At 54.6% G+C, this 16,501-nt stretch overlaps 1 long non-coding RNA gene across 1 annotated transcript in view, besides 4 other annotated features; it reads left to right on the top strand.

Moving 5' to 3' along the window:
* The window catches only part of LOC107984282 (uncharacterized), a 28,480-nt gene extending 24,058 nt beyond the window's left edge, over positions 1 to 4,422 (top strand). Inside the window, exons 3-4 of the long non-coding RNA NR_158224.1 lie at positions 705 to 1,308; positions 3,937 to 4,422. This is a non-coding gene — a long non-coding RNA (uncharacterized LOC107984282). The remainder of the gene's footprint in view (positions 1 to 704; positions 1,309 to 3,936) is intronic.
* Positions 6,578 to 7,277: an enhancer, noted in NCBI's record as "H3K27ac hESC enhancer chr10:134319093-134319792 (GRCh37/hg19 assembly coordinates)". NCBI's record gives its function as "activates a minimal SCP1, AML or CMV promoter by ChIP-STARR-seq in naive H9 embryonic stem cells {active_cell/tissue: H9 hESC(naive)}" and the evidence as "EXISTENCE:reporter gene assay evidence [ECO:0000049][PMID:30033119]".
* Positions 7,278 to 7,977: an enhancer, noted in NCBI's record as "H3K27ac-H3K4me1 hESC enhancer chr10:134318393-134319092 (GRCh37/hg19 assembly coordinates)". NCBI's record gives its function as "activates a minimal SCP1, AML or CMV promoter by ChIP-STARR-seq in naive H9 embryonic stem cells {active_cell/tissue: H9 hESC(naive)}" and the evidence as "EXISTENCE:reporter gene assay evidence [ECO:0000049][PMID:30033119]".
* Positions 12,824 to 13,323: an enhancer, noted in NCBI's record as "H3K4me1 hESC enhancer chr10:134313047-134313546 (GRCh37/hg19 assembly coordinates)". NCBI's record gives its function as "activates a minimal SCP1, AML or CMV promoter by ChIP-STARR-seq in naive H9 embryonic stem cells {active_cell/tissue: H9 hESC(naive)}" and the evidence as "EXISTENCE:reporter gene assay evidence [ECO:0000049][PMID:30033119]".
* Positions 13,324 to 13,825: an enhancer, noted in NCBI's record as "H3K4me1 hESC enhancer chr10:134312545-134313046 (GRCh37/hg19 assembly coordinates)". NCBI's record gives its function as "activates a minimal SCP1, AML or CMV promoter by ChIP-STARR-seq in naive H9 embryonic stem cells {active_cell/tissue: H9 hESC(naive)}" and the evidence as "EXISTENCE:reporter gene assay evidence [ECO:0000049][PMID:30033119]".

Genomic DNA, 16,501 nt, shown 5'->3' with positions numbered 1-16,501 from the left:
CCGAAACGCATATGTGGGAGGCCACCCTTATAGAGGGTGGGGGATGAGAGGAGGGCTTGGGTGGACCTGGGTCATTGGGGATAAGAGGAGGGCTCAGTGGACCTGGGTTGGGAATGACAGGAGGGCTCAGTGGACCTGGGTCATTGGGGATGAGAGGAGGGGTCAGGTGGATCTGGGTTGTTGGGGATGAGAGGAGGGCTCAGGTGGAGCTGGGTCGTTGGGGATGAGAGGAGGGCTCGGGTGGACCTGGGTTGTTGGAAATGAGAGGAGGGCTCAGGTGGAGCTGGGTCGTTGGGGATGAGAGGAGGGCTCGGGTGGACCTGGTCATTGGTGGCACCTACCCAGCTCTGCATCTCTTCCCTCACCTGTCCACCCTAGGAATGGGCAAGTGACCCGGGGTGACAATCAGCACATTGTTTTCCTGGCCACAGGTGGGCAAGAGGTCCCAGGAGACCAGTGAAGCATAATTAGACTTTTTCTGGAAATTCTGGAAAAAATACACACATTATTCCCTTGGATTCATACCCAAGGGGACATACAGTCTAGAGCTATTGCAGCCATCTTGTGACAGAGAGGGGAAGCACATATACACACTTAGAACCTAGGCTGGGATGCTTGATCCAGCCACACCTGAATCTCACAGCTGTGTGTAAATAAGTAAATGCCCTTGAAGCTAATTTGGTTGTTTTTCCTGTCTTTTGTAGGAGTCTAGATGAATATAGGCAGCAGCCAAAGGCCACAGTCACGACAAACCTACACACTCTCACCACTGTCATCTCATATTGTCCTAAAATTTCCAGCCAGTGCAAAAAAACATGAAAAAGAAAAAATACAGCCATTGGAAAAGAGGAAAAGTAATTGTTATTAGCTGATGATGTGAATGTCTTCCTGAAAACCTTAAGAGAACCAACTGGAAAACAACCAGAAATGAGAGCATGGAGTTAGGCAACCGCCGATCTGCTTTCTGTCACTTGGGCGAGTTTTTCCCGTCCTGGGATTTCATATCTCTGGAATCCTGCAGTACGTAGCCCTCTGTCTGGCTTCCTCGCTCCGTGTAATGTTCTTGAGATTCATCCATGCAGCTGTGTATACCTGCAGTGATTGTTTCTCTTGTTGAATTGCTGAGAAGGGTTCCATCGTATGCCTTTTCCAGTTTATTTGTTCATCTGTTGTTAGACATTTGAGTTATTTCCAGCTTGGGACTCTTATGAACAAAACTGCTATAAACATGCATATTCAAGTCTTTGTGGATATGTGCTTTCTTTTGTCCTGGATAAATGTCTCCACGTGGGCTTCCTGGGTCTCACGGTAAGTGTATGTTTCGCTTTCTGTACCGCTTTACATTCTCATCTTCCTCATTCCCCGTTTCCCCGATGACTAAGGACGTCAGCAACTGGTATGGTCTGGATCCTTGTCCTGGCCCAAATCTCATGTTCAGTTGTGATCCCCAGTGTTGGAGGTGGGACCTGGTGGAGGTGACAGGATCGTGGGGGTGGATTTCCCCCTTGGCTACTGTTGTCACAATAGTGAGTTAGTTCTCGTGAGATCTTGTTGTTTAAAAGTGTGTAGCGCCTCCCATCCATCTCTCTTCCTCCTCCTCTGGCCATGTGACGTGCCGGCTCCCCCTTCACCTTCCGCCATGATTGTAAGTTTCCTGGGGCCTCCCCAGAAGCAGAAGCCACTATGCCTTCCCGCACAGACTGCAGAACCGTGAGCCAATTAAACCTCTTTTCTTTATAAATTAGCCAGTCTCAGGTATTTCTTCATAGCAGTGCAAGGATGACAGAATACAGTATCCTTTTGTGTGCTTAGCCATTTGTACATCGTTTCTTATAGTTTGTGTGTTCAACGTTTTGTCCATTTATGAAACTAGTTGATTTGCTTTCTTATTGAGTTGTAAGTGTTTTTTATGTATTGCAGGGAAAGTCCTTTGTCATTTATAGGCATTGCAATTATTTTCTCACAGTCTGTGGCTTGTCTTTTCATCGATTTAATGATGTCTTTGGAAGACAAAAAAATTTAATTTTTATGACATCCAATTTATCAACTTTTTTATAGTAACTGCCTTTTCTGTCCTAAGAAATGTTTGTTAACTCAGAATCACAAAGTTTTCTTCTGTGTTTTAGTCTAGAAGTTTTATAGAATTAGGCTCCACATTTAGGTCCATGATCAGTACTGAGGTCATTTTTAAGGACGTGGTCTGGGTCAGAGCGGCCACTGGGAGGGGCTTGGAGGAGCCGGCAGGGCCCTGTGGGGAGGCCACCCCAGGAGCAGGGTGGCAGCATTCACCCACTTCAGCCCCAACCCTCTGGAGCTTTGCCGCAGAGGGCTCAGGGCCGGCGGCGTCACATCACCCCCGGGCTCAGGGGCTCTTTGCCAGGCCTGGCCTGCCTTGTGCTCAGCCCTCACTCTGGGCATCACAGGGCGGTCCCAGGTCTGCTCTGCGACCGGGTCTGTGCACCTGCAAATAAATGTCCCTCAGAGCCAGGCACGGGACCAGGCCCCAGGCAGCCACACTCAGAAGGGTTTGGATGACGGCCGCTCCCGGCCCTGGCCTGGCTCGAGGGTTTGGGGGCCCCAGGTGGGTGGCAGGAGGATCCTGGTAGCTGCGGAGCTAGGCACAGGCTCCGTGCAGGATGAAGGTGGGGATAACACACAGATCTGGGGAGGGGCCCAGGGCAGGGCTACAGGAGAAAGATGGGCTTGGCAGGAGGCAGGGGGTGGGGTGGGAACCATGACAGGGCCACAGGTTAGGGCTTGCAGAGTCCGGAGACAGGTGTGAGGTCTTCCCCTGAGAGCAGGAGCCGGCTGGGCCCATCCTGGCCTCCCAGGAACTGAGAGTGCATAGGTGGGGCTGTACCCAGGGAGGCAAGGTCCTGTGGCTGTCACAGGTTGTCATTCCCTGGGAAATCCCAACCTCCAGCCCAGATTCAGCTCTGGTGAGGATTTGGAGCAGCAGAAAAATCCTCAATGCCCCACTTCCGAAGGCTGAGGGACCCTTCAGCACTGACCTCAGCTCAGCATGGCTCAGCCCCAAGCTCAGGAGGGCCCTGTGTGGGCGGGCTGACCCTCCCCTGCCCCGCTGGCTTCTTGTTTGATGCTCTCCTTCCAGAGGGTGACAGGGCTTCATTCCTGGATGGAAAAGTGCACGGCACCCCCATCTCTGCCACGACGCCTGGTGATACGGTGACCACCACATCTGAACACAGCGGGCCCCGGCCCACTTGCCGGCCCAGACTTGGTGGGGGCCGCTCCTGGGCCTCTCTCCTTCTCCCCGGCAACACCCAGGCCTCCTTTCTGCACCAAGAAACTGCCCACTTGACCCAGCCCCTGGGCACTGGCACCAGCAGCTCCCTCTGTCTTTGGCCCTTTTCCCTGGATCACACGCAGCTGGCGTCTTGCCCCTCAGTGCCCCCTTGGGAAAGAATTTGCAGGTCAATCCAGTGAGACTCCCATCACATCCCCTGTTTTGTTGCTATCAAAACATCTGCACTTGGTGGATGATCCTGTTTGTATGTTTGCTCACCCACGTACCTTCGATCCTTCCCACTAGAATGTAGGTTCCCAAGAGCAGGGACCCCACGCCCAAGAGTGGCCTTTTCACAGCGGGAGCTGCATGCTTGCTTGCTTGCTGGGTGTGTGAGGACCAGAACGGTCCCCTCCTGCACTCTGCACACCTCAGGTTGGCTGCCCTTTAAGGGTGAGGCAGGTCAGGCTCTGGGACTTCTGGGGGGCTCCAGGAGGGAGAAGAGCTCGATGTGGTGGGGGCTGTTGGCTGAATCCCTGGTTGATCTGGAGGGTGTGGAGCCTGTGGGGCAAGGCGCACCTGCTCAGCAGCCCTGGAGTCAGCTGTGCTCTCCGACCTCAGGAGCCTCCTTCCCCGGGCCCAGCTTTATTCCGGGTGGCACTCAGGGTGGCACTGCTGTTTCCCTGCAGGACCTCACCAGCTGACGTGGCCGGCCCTGGACTTGCCATGGAGAAGGCAGAGCCTGCCTCCCAGTGGGTCCCTGTGAGGAACAGCAGTACCGGCTTGTCGTCTTTCTGGGAAATGCATTTCGCCTCCTCTAGGAACCTCCCGGATGACCCAGAGTGTTCTCCACCCACTTTTCCTGCCCTGTGCGGTCACCTCATTTCTACAGGCTTGGGGAAACAAATGCAAAGTGCTTTCCAGAACGTTTTTGTCTTACACATGACACTTCTATGGAAAAAATGACTTTTTTTCCATTGTTCCTTCCAGAACCTGAGCACATCCCTCTGCTGGGAGGACGCTGTCTGTCCAAATGTCACTGTCCCCCATTTAGGAGCAGCAGCAGGGCCTTGCTTCATGTTCATATGGGTGTTGATTGGGATATGATGGATTCTTCTGTGTACTTTGGAGGATTTTCTCCTTAGTTTGAATAGTAAACTGTAAACTCAGACTCAGGACCTGGCTGGTGGAGAGCTGGGTCCCTGGTTGGGGCTGACCACAGAGGCCCAGGGTCTGTCTCTCCTTGGAAAATGCCCAGGCTGGGCAGGCAAGGAGCTGGGCTGACCTCTGCCAGTGACAATTCCTGGCAGGTACACCTGGCTGGTCCCCAGTGCCCTGGGCCAGTAACCCTGCAGCAGAGAATCTAACGCTAGCCAGGCCTGAGCCGTGGGTCATCTGTGAAGTGGCCTGCCCACTGTCATAAGAGGTGCACCCGTCTGCCTGAAGCCAGGCTCAGCTAGCCGACTGGTGAGCTGCCTCCTGCTTCAGAGCTCAGGCCCCGGAGTTCTGCTGTGGCCGCAGGCATGCACCCTCGTATTGGCCTGCACAGCAGGCCTTGGGCTGCTCCATGCATCACATGTGCTCCAAAGGATCGTGGATGCCTGAGTTCCACCCTGGAGGGACCGGGCATGGCCTGGACATCAGGACGTTCACATCTCCTCAAGGATTCGTCCTCCGTGACCCTGCTGTGGCTCCAGACGGTTTACAAAGGGCACTCACCTGTGCCTGCTCATTGACACTTCACTGTGTTCCCATTCGATAAGGAAACCACGGCTCCAAAGACCAGCTGAAGTCACGGGTGGTAAGAGGCCAAGCTGAGGCCCCTTGCCCCATCCCTGGCTCCAGGCAGCCTTTGCCCCCACCTCTCCCTCACCGTGGCCTCCAGGGTCTCCCAAAGCTTCCTTCCCTCCTTCAAATCTCAGTTTGGTCCGTGGTGAGTCAGGTGTGCTGAGTGGACTAAAGTTCATAGCTCCAGCCAGGTACAGCCCGGGCAGCACCAGCACCTTCAGTTTCAAGGGGTCCTGGGAAGGCTGGCTTGGGAAGAGTTCCGAGCCTGAAGGGTACAGGTGGGTCAGCAGGTGGGAGGAGCTGCCATCATCCATGATGTGTGGACCATGAGTTTCTTCTGAGAGTGAACATTTCCCCAGGCAGGTGTTTTGGGGGAAGGGAATGTGCCCTGCAGGCAGGTGTGGCCCTGGGTAGCTGCATGGTCGGGTGCATGTGGCCCCAGGCAGATGCATGGTGGGTGGTGTGGCCCCAGGCAGGTTCATGGTGGGGGAGATGTGCATGGTGGTGGGGTATGACCCCAGGCAGGTGCATGACCAGGTGGTGTGACTAGAAGGCTTCCTCCATCCTTGCTGGACGGGGGGTCCCACACTGCCTGGGCCCTCTCTTTGGGTCACAGGCTTGCTGCCCCTTTTGTTGCCATTTCTGGGCCTGTGTTAGCCAAGGTGACCTTCAGCAGCCACCATCATGCACAGAGAAGGACCTCTGCGCCTCTCAGAGTCCCTGGCCTGACAAGAAGAAACTGAAGCCAAAGGCAGCCCAAACCTCGGGGCACCATGGGCCCCTTGGCGGCCGCGGCTCATTAAATGCCCTCTTTCTAAGGGTTTCCTCAGAGCCTTCATTCCCTGCTCAGCATTCCAATGGCCTCCTCCGGGATGCCTTTTAATATCCCTGCCAAATTGAAATGTGAGCCACCTAATTACAACCAGAACATCCTGCCCTTGGACGCGCTCACTTGATCCATGGAGGGACTGTTCCCTCTGTTGTTCACGTCCTGACTGGACTTGGAGATGAGAGACTTGAAACCTGCATCTGTGTCTGGTCAGGAAGGACCAGCAGCTCTAGTGACCACAGAGAGCAGAGCCCAAAGCACTGACTCAAGCCCCTGCCAGGTGCAGAGCCTGGAGGTCCCAGAGTGACCACTCCTATCACTGGAGCCAATCCCAGAGTGACCGTCCCTATCACTGGAGCCGATCCCAGAGTGACCGTCCCTATCACTGGCGCCGATCCCAGAGTGACCGTCCCTATCACTGGAGCCGATCCCAGAGTGACCGTCCCTATCACTGGCGCCGATCCCAGAGTGACCGTCCCTATCACTGGCGCCGATCCCAGAGTGACCGTCCCTATCACTGGCGCCGATCCCAGAGTGACCGTCCCTATCACTGGCGCCGATCCCAGAGTGACCGTCCCTATCACTGGCGCCGATCCCAGAGTGACCGTCCCTATCACTGGCGCCGATCCCAGAGTGACCGTCCCTATCACTGGCGCCGATCCCAGAGTGACCGTCCCTATCACTGGCGCCGATCCCAGAGTGACCGTCCCTATCACTGGCGCCGATCCCAGAGTGACCGTCCCTATCACTGGCGCCGATCCCAGAGTGACCGTCCCTATCACTGGAGCCGATCCCAGAGTGACCGTCCCTATCACTGGAGCCGATCCCAGAGTGACCGTCCCTATCACTGGCGCCGATCCCAGAGTGACCGTCCCTATCACTGGAGCCGATCCCAGAGTGACCGTCCCTATCACTGGAGCCGATCCCAGAGTGACCGTCCCTATCACTGGCGCCGATCCCAGAGTGACCGTCCCTATCACTGGAGCCGATCCCAGAGTGACCGTCCCTATCACTGGAGCCGATCCCAGAGTGACCGTCCCTATCACTGGAGCCGATCCCAGAGTGACCGTCCCTATCACTGGCGCCGATCCCAGAGTGACCGTCCCTATCACTGGAGCCGATCCCAGAGTGACCGTCCCTATCACTGGAGCCGATCCCAGAGTGACCGTCCCTATCACTGGCGCCGATCCCAGAGTGACCGTCCCTATCACTGGAGCTGATCCCAGAGTGACCGTCCCTATCACTGGCGCTGATCCCAGAGTGACCACTCCTATCACTGGCGCTGATCCCAGAGTGACCGTCCCTATCACTGGCGCTGATCCCAGAGTGACCGTCCCTATCACTGGCGCTGATCCCAGAGTGACCGTCCCTATCACTGGCGCTGATCCCAGAGTGACCGTCCCTATCACTGGAGCTGATCCCAGAGTGACCGTCCCTATCACTGGCGCTGATCCCAGAGTGACCGTCCCTATCACTGGCGCTGATCCCAGAGTGACCACTCCTATCACTGGAGCCGATCCCAGAGTGACCGTCCCTATCACTGGAGCCGATCCCAGAGTGACCGTCCCTATCACTGGAGCCGATCCCAGAGTGACCGTCCCTATCACTGGCGCTGATCCCAGAGTGACCGTCCCTATCACTGGCGCTGATCCCAGAGTGACCGTCCCTATCACTGGCGCTGATCCCAGAGTGACCGTCCCTATCACTGGAGCTGATCCCAGAGTGACCGTCCCTATCACTGGAGCTGAGCTCTGTACAGGAATGGAGGAAACAAAGGCGCCCGCTGCCTTGGAGGCCCAGCACCTTCGCACCTTCTTCAGGACTTGCTGTTTTCCAGGGCTGTGGTCGGCACTGGGGACCTCTGAATGCAGCCCCTCCCTGCACCAGCAGCCTGGGCCTTCCGCCCTTCTTGGGACATTGGGGTGATCAGAAAACCACAGGCCAGGCCTCCTTCAGATAGTGCTTGAAAAGATCCCAGAATTCAGCCCTAGGAGGGGCTCCTTCTCCCACTGCACCCCTGTCCCAGACAGCCCTCCTTGGTCTGTGGGGGCACCAGGCCTTGGGTCTTCCAAGGGGCCCAGCTCCCCAGGTGTGAGCTCACAGCTGAGAATTGCCCTCCACCTGGCCCGGGGTCTGGCCATTCCAGCGGCTGTGCACATCTGGGGCTCCTGTTCACTGCAGCCCCTCCTCTGTCCTGTCCTCGGTTCTCCCTCCCAGCCTAGAATCCCTACCCCAAAGCATACACTTCCCAGGGAGCTGAAAGGACCTCAGGGTGGGGCCCACCCTGCTGGGTAGAAGGAAACAGCAGGGTGTGTAGGGCAGGAACGTCCCTGGAGGGCTCTCGGGGTGCGCCTGCCATCCCTCTACACCCCTCTGTTCCACCCCCACGCCCGTCAGCCTGAGTGCAGTGGTTAACCGTGGCATTTGGGAGGCCAAGTCTTGGAAAAATCAGGCCATTTTTTGGTCTGTTTGTTTGATATTCTGAGAATTTCTATGAAGCATGAGTTCCTGCAGTCCGAAGGCTGAGAGGTTCTGCAGAAGGGCACAGACCCTGCGCTCCCTCTGCCATCATCAGCAGGAGTGGGATGACCCTGTCTGGGAGGCCGTGGGAGGCAGGACTCGGTCTGGTGCCTGACATCTGGTGCCAGCAGGACTATTCCTGGGGAGGCCTCAGCATGCCACCCTGAGAGAAGGGAGGGTCTAGGCAGGGGGCTGTGTGGGTCCAGAGACCTCAGCTGACCCCAGAAGGAGCTGGCTGCTTTGGCAATCAGGGTAGCCTAAGTCTCGGCCAGACTCAAGCCTCTGTGTCCTGCACTGACTGGACACGGGATACAGGCCAGCCCCAGGGTCCTGGGCAGCACGTCTCCCCAGATATGTCCATTGGTGGGAGCAGCTGTCCTCCAGGCCTTGTGCCGCTCTTACTGAATGGGGCCAACAGTCAGGGCCGCCACCTGAGACCCACACGTTTCCTGCTGGCACCTGGGCGGTGGTGCCCTTTGGCCTAAGCAGCTCCCTGTGCTTGGCTCAGCCTGGCCTGGGGGTGTGGTGGACAGGTGGTGCATTCTGCTCCTGATACCCCTGCCTGGGCAGAGCCCTTCCAAGTGGTGGTCTGGGCTCGTCATGGAGGCTGAGGGCTGGCAGGGCTGGTTCCCTCAGCCATAGAAAGGATCCTCTTGGGGGTTGGCGGGGAATTCTGCAGGAGCCTTTGAGACAGGAGTCCCAGGCCTTGGTACCCTGGCAGGGGAGGCTCTCTGTGCCCACCCCTTCCTCCACCTGGGAGTCCTGCCAGGGGGCCTGCGGACAAGCAGCCCTGGGTATCCCATGCGCTGCTGCTGGAGAGGCCGCCCTTGGAAGCTGCTCCCGAGATGGAGGAGAATGGGGCAAGCAACCTTGCAGGCAAAGAAACTGGAAGCCTCAGGATCCTTATGGATGCTGCTACTTTCTCTTTAACAATTGAGGATTAACTCGCCGATTCCAGGCTCATTTGAGGTGACCCCGAACGATAAGCTCGCTCCGATTGAGAGACTCAGAAAAACAGTCTCTGAGCAGGTCCTTAATAATCGACCTGCCCGAGGCATCATTACAATAGATAAATCTAAATAAAGATTTCCTTTGCCATTGACTTGTCTTGGCCTAAATATCGTGGAAAATTTCCAAGACTGCTTATGCCCGACACACGACGTGCAGCCCAACTGCACGTCGAAATGAAAACTGGGGTGTGGCGAGCCTGGCGGGGCACGCAGAGGAGATCAGGGTACATGAGAGCGCTCCTAAGGGTGCGGCGCAGTGGAGCCAGGAAGGCTGGCGAGGACCCTGCAGGTCAGCGGCTCCCCGGACGCCCTCGTGCACAGTGACCCTTTGGGGTGGAATCCAGTTCCTGGCCTGGGTTGGCCTAGAAACATCCTCTGAGGAAACTCTCGTTGAGTTGTTACCTTTTCTCTTGACACAGCTTTACTGAGGTAGAGTTCACACGCCAGCCCCACATCCCTCTGAAGTGTGCAGTTCAGCGGTCGTTGGTGCATTCACGGAATCCCTCTGAGGTGGGCAGTTCAGTGGTTGTTGGTGCATTCACGGACACGCTCAGTTCAGTGGTCGGTGCATTCACGGACACGCTCAGTTCAGCGGTCGTTTGTGCATTCACGGACATGCTCAGTTCAGCTGTCGTTGGTGCATTCACGGACATGCTCAATTCAGCGGTCATTGGTGCATTCACGGAATCCCTCTGAGGTGGGCAGTTCAGCCGTTGTTGGTGCATGCATGGACATGCTCAATTCCGGACATTTTCATCTTCCTCCAAAGAAACCCCGGGGCTGGGCAGAGCAGCTCGTGTCTGTAATCTCAGAGGAGGGAGAGCAAGGCTGGAGGATCCCTTGAGCACAGGAGTTAGACCAGCCTGGACAACATAATGAGACCCCACCTCTATAAAAAATATAAATATCAGCTGGTGGTGATATGTGCCTGTGGAGGCTAAGGTGGGAGGATCATGTGAGCCCAGGAGGTCAAAACTGGAGTGAGCTGTGATGGTGCCACTGCCCTCCAGCCTAGGTAACAGAGCAAGACTCCATCTCAAAGAAAAAGACAACTCTGTGCCCTTTGGCTCTCGTGCTTGCCCCCAACCTCCCAGATGGGAACCTCAGCGTCCCAGCAGCGTCCGGGAAGCTTTGGGAAGCCCACTGCCTTCCCAGTGGGCAGGGTCAATACACTCACCTTGAGAAGATGTGTTACTAAGTATGAAAATGTGTGCAGAGAACCAAACCCAAAGTATGAATATTTTGTGACAGATTTATGCATGTTTGGTATTTTAACACTATGCAATGCTTCTGAGATTTTTGCTAAAAAACAGGTCACCTGGTGGGAGGCCGAGGCCAGCAGATCACGAGGTCAGGAGATCGAGACCATCCTGGCTAACACGGTGAAACCCTGTCTCCACTAAATATAAAAAAAAATAGCCGGGAGTGATGGCAGGTGCCTGTAGTCCCAGCAACTCGGGAGGCTGAGGCAGGAGAATGGCGTGAACCCGGGAGGCGGAGCTTGCAGTGAGCCGAGATCACGCCACTGCACTCCAGCCTGGGCGGCAGAGCGAGACTCCATCTCAAAAAACAAACAAACAATAAAACAAAACAAAAAAGAAACAAGTCACCTGGGATTCCAACTTAAACAGGGTAATTGGGTAATTGATTTTGACTTTATCAGTAGATACCTTTCCAAATTGATATATAGCTTTGGACACTTACACTTTGAACATGTAAAGATCAGCACATGTGTAAGGTTAACTAGCATTGCAAGTATTTGGGAAAGTCTGTTTTTAGGCAAATAGAGTCCTTTAAAAAGAAGTGAAGTTTTACAGTTTCACAATTTCAGCTTAAAAGGTTTAAAGAAGCTTAGATAAGTTTACAAATGGGACCAAATACTAATCAAAAGTGTTGAAATTAGTTAGGTTTAAAAATAGAATATCATGAAAAAAGATAGAATATGTGGTGTATAAGCTAAGATTAACCCTTAAGAAAGAAATGGTTTGCAGTCAAATGCTCTATCCCTGAACTATATCCCCAAGAAACAGGATTTGCAGTTCTTGTTTTGATAAACTGTACTTTTGTGGGTTTTTTTCAAAGCTTTTATTGTGGTAAGACACATACAGCAAGCAATTCAGCATCTTACCCATGTTCGCATGTACAGTTCCATGGTGTTAGCGTGTTCAGGATGTTGTGACGCCGTCATCACCACCCGTCTCCAGATCCGTTTTCATTGTGGGAAACGGAAACTCGGTCCCCATGAAACACCCACTCCCCATTCCCATCTCCCCAGCCTCAGGGAGCCTCCGTTCTGCTTTCTGTCTCAGTGAGTTTGGCTCCTCTGGGAGCCTCAGGTACACAGAGTCAGGCAGTACTTGCCCTTCTGTATCTGGCTTCTCTCCTTTCCCACAGTGTCTTAAAGACCCATCCGTGTTGTAGCACATGCCAGGTTTTCCTTCCTTTTTAAGACTGAGTTAAAATCCATTCTGTGGGTATTCCACATTCTGTTTTCCATTCATCTGTGACAGACGCCCGTGTTGCTGCTGCCCCTTGGCCATCGTGACTAATACTGCTGTGAACATAGTGAGCAAATATTGCTTGAGACCCTGCTTCTGATTCTTCTGTGCATATACCCAGACGCAGACTTGCTGGGTCCTAGGGTGATTCTATTTCTAATTTTTTGAGGAATCATCATACTGTTTTCCACAGTGGCTGCCCCATTTCACATTCTTACCAATAGTGCATGAGGGATCCAATGTAACCATAACCTCACCAACAATTGTTATTTTCTGTTTTTTAAAAATAGTAACCATCCTCATGGTTGTAACGTGGTATCTCCTTGGAGTTTTGATTCACATTTTTCTACAGATTTGTTATTGTGTTAGCCCGTTCTCACACTGTTAGTAAAGACATATGCAAGACTGGGTAATTTATAAAGGAAAGAGGTTTAATTGGCTGGGGAGGCCTCAGGAAACTTACAATCATGGCGGAAGGGGAAGCAAACACCTCCTTCTCACGGCAGCAGCAAGGAGAAGTGCCAAGCAGAAGGGGGAAAAGCCCCTTATAAAACCATCAGATCTTGTGAGATCTCACTCACTATCATGAGAACAGCAGCATGAGGGTAACCACACCCATGATTCTATTACCTCCCACTGGGTCCTTCCCATGACATGTGGGGATTATGGAAACTCCAATTCAAGATGAGATTTGAGTGGGGATGCAGCCGAACCATATAAGTAATCCAGGAGGATCCAGGCCCAAATTACAATGGACACAGGACCAACCCATGATGGAACCAGGTTCAGCCCATGATAAACCCAAGCTCAGCTCAGGTAGGATCCAGGCTCAGCTAAGGTTGGAACCAGGCTCAGCCCATGATGGATCCAGGGCCAGCTTAGGTTGGATCCAGGCTCAGCCCATGATAGACCCAATCACAGGCCACAGTAAACCCAAGATCAGCCCTCAATGGACCCAGGCTCAGGCCACAGTGGACCTAGTATCAATCCAGGAGGGACCTAGGATCAGCCCAGGATGGATCCAGGATCAACCCTGGCAGCTTTGAAGGAGGAAACTGGGTCACAGTAGATGCATCTCATTCTGGACTCCTGGCGTCTGGGAGCTGTTTGATGATAGAATGATAGGCTTTAACACTGAATAGAATTACATCCTGCCTGTCTTCAAGTTGCTTAAAAGAAGCATTCTCTCACCTTTCCTGAGATCAGTGGGAACGTCCCCAGGAGTCAGTAGGTCTGTGTTGGAGATCAATGCGCTGGAAGCTGAATGAACTCTGCCATGCCAGAAGCCCCAAGCACACAGCAAAGCTACCCGGAGGGAGCGTAAACACACAGGATGAAGCTGGGCTAACGTCCCTCAGCCCAGCACCTTCCACTGTGCCACCCACAAGGAAGGTGCTGTGAGGGACACGGCCTCTGCCCTCAAGAGGCTATCGCCTCCTGTGGTCCCGCGGAGCCCCACCCTCGCCTGCTCACACCACCTGCTGAGGGTGGGCCACCTGCTTCCTGCCAGGACAGTGACCCCCTCTAGACTTGGATTAGACCATCTGAGCAATTGCAGAGAATTCGGGGGCAAGTAAGGCCTCTGAGGGAGCGGACATCCCACCTGGGCCCCTGTGTCCAGGTGGAAGATGCTGGTCTTGTCCCACCACACTGAGAGCTCTACCCCCGCCAGCCTCCTGTCGCTCAGGCAGAGATGCCAAGGAAATGTCCTGGAACGCAGCTGTCAGTGCCTGGCACTTTCCAAGCTAAAGCTACATTGCCAAGGGACTGAAGACACCATACAGTTTGCAGGCCTTTTTTTAAGAAGACATTGGGGCTGGGTGCAGAGGCTTACACCTGGAATTTCAGCACTTTGGCAGGCTGAGATGGGAGGATCGCTTGAGCAGGAGAGTTGGAGGCTGCAGTGAGCGGTGATTGCACCATTGCACTCCAGCCTGGGAGACAGAGCAAGGCAGTGTCTCTTAAAAAAACAAATAAAACTTTGGGGAACACTGCGATGGAGCAAGACCATGAGGAGCACAGGAGAAGACGCTCAGCCCGACGCAGCCGTCCGTGTGGCAGGAAGAATGCTGTACATCACAGCTGGCATGGCCGCCCGTACCCTCTTCTTCACGCTCTCATGCCTCCTAGAGCTTAGGCTCCAGGACCTCTGTCCTGACCTGGCCCTGGTGTGTGTGTGCATGTGCACATGTGTGTGCATGTATACATGTGTTTGTGTGTGTGCATGTGTGTTTGTGTGTGTGCATGTGTGTTTGTGTGTGTGCATGTGTGTGCATGTATACAAGTGTTTGTGTGTGTGCATGTGTGTTTGTGTGTGTGTGTGCATGTGTGTGGTGTATGTGTGGTGTGAGTAGAGGGGCTGGTCGGTTGGGTCAGGGGAGGAGTTTATGTTCCCATTGAGGCATAAGGGGGGGTCTTCTGGGGACTTCAGGGAAGGTTTTTTCTGCTCTGGCAGAGGGGCAAGCTAGAGGTTTCTCTCTTGCATGAACCACACTGTCTGGCTGTTCCAGCTGTCTGGTGACCAGGGTGGCCTGCCCGGGGCACTGAGGATGATCGTGTGGAAAACGGCACTAACTCAGGTCCTGGACCTGCTCCACCGCTCAGAAACCACTGCCAGGGCTGCCCCACTCTCACACTGGATGGGGGAGGCAATGCAGTGTCCTTACCTCTGCCTGCAGGTCCTCTGACCCACAGATGGTCACAGATGGTATATGGCCTCTGGCTAGGACTGCATGACCTATAGGCCACATCTGGGGGCTCTGTCGTGGACACACCCAGCGTCCCAGGGCTGTGGTTTTTAAATCCCTCCTAGGGCCCTTGGGAACCAAACCAGCCTGACGGACCTCTGCTGCAGGGTGTGTCCCCCAAGACAGGGCGTGCTGTGGGTGCCCGCCTACAGAGCCTCTCCAGAGGACAAGGGTTTGGGCCACAGTGGCCCTGCCAGCCTGCACCATCTGGTCCCCATCACCGCCTGGCTGATGGCCTTAAGCTCACCCCACACGTGGGTCCTGCTAGGGCCCTGCAGCGTCTCATGCTTGGGGCTTCGGCACGGCTTCTCCTGGGAGCGTGTGGTGCTCTCGGGAGGCTGTGGCTGAATTTAGGCTTAGCCGCATCCCCCGCCATTATTTGGTTGAAAGTAGGAAAGGTCATTTGGATGATACATAGCCTTGGGCTCCAGCTGGAGGTGTTCATTTCATGTCTAAAACTCCTCTCAATGCCCTGGTTCTTTTCTGTGAAATATTTTTCAAAATTTCTATAGAGAAGGGTTTAAAATAGGCTGCCCAAGAGCCACAGGGAGCAATGACCCAATTGTTGGTCACAAGAGGGAAGCGGGGGCCCATTTGGCCGTACCCGCCCCTGTCCGGGCCTCCCCGTCGCAATGTCGAGGAGTCTGTGCCACCCCTGGGGCCCCTTGGGGCTGGTGTTGGCTTCTTGGCAAGTTTCAACAGAAACGTGCTTCTGACTTCCCCAATCGTGTCTGCACCTCGTTCAGGGAGCTTCTCCCTGTGGGTCTGCCACTTGGCCCTCGGGGGCTTAGAACGCCGCTGGTCCTGAGATAGTGCCTTGTGCCCGCCGGCACCCTTGCTGCTCTCACTTGGGGGCTTAGAACGCCGCTGGTCCTGCGACAGTGCCTTGTGCCCGCCGGCACCCTTGCTGCTCTCACTTGGGGGCTTAGAACGCCGCTGGTCCTGCGACAGTGCCTTGTGCTGCCAGCACCCTTGCTGCTCTCACTCGGGGGATTAGAACGCCGCTGGTCCTGTGACAGTGCCTTGTGCCTGCCAGCACCCTTGCTGCACAACCATCCCCAGTGTCTTGGCATTTGCAAGCTTGGCTCCAGGACAATTTCTGGGGGTTTCCTCGCTATCCCTGCTCCTGAACAGCCGCTCGGCAACAATGCAGACTCCGGGGTTTCCAGGAGTGGTCCCGTTGGAGACAATGATGACAGTGGGCCTCCTTCCCTCCCTAAGCCGCCAGCACAGGCATTGCTCAGCAATGAGGGGGCTGCCTGGAGTGGGGAGCAGGCCATGAGCCCTTCAGACAGGTCCCAGACCTCGTGTCTGGCTCAGAGGCCAGAGGGGCATATATGTCAGCAAGATATGGAATTACAGAAGTGACAGGTGTCCAGACAGAGGAAGGACAGTGCCACGAGAGGACGCGATGGGAGGACACGACCTGGTTTAGAGATCAGGGTGGACTTTCTGGAGAAGCAACGTCTGAGGGGTGACCTGGAAGGTGATGAGCCCACCCTGGTGTCTCACTCTCCCCCTCCAGCCCAGCCTCTGACAGACAAGGCCAGTTTCCTGGCCCACAAATCCCCAGGAGTGAATTGACTTAGCGCCTCCCTTTGAGGTCACACTGCCATCTTCGTCAAGTTGCCTTGTAAATCCTACAAGCCTGCCACAGTTACTGACTCAATGTCTGCTACGTGCCAGCCAAGGGGAAGGGTGGGGAGGCATATAGGCAGTAATGCCTGTTGTTCAGCTTGGCTCAGAGTGTGTGTGTGTTTGTGTGTGTGTGTACATGCACACGTGTGTCATGTAACTGTTGTGTGAAGACGAAACTACACAGAACATAAGAGTGAATTAATGCACAGAAAACATCTTTAGAA

Source organism: Homo sapiens, chromosome 10 (genome assembly GCF_000001405.40).
Source record: "Homo sapiens chromosome 10, GRCh38.p14 Primary Assembly".
NCBI lineage: Eukaryota > Metazoa > Chordata > Mammalia > Primates > Hominidae > Homo > Homo sapiens.
Note: the sequence above shows the minus strand (reverse complement) of the source record. Positions and strands in the feature narration are given on the sequence as shown.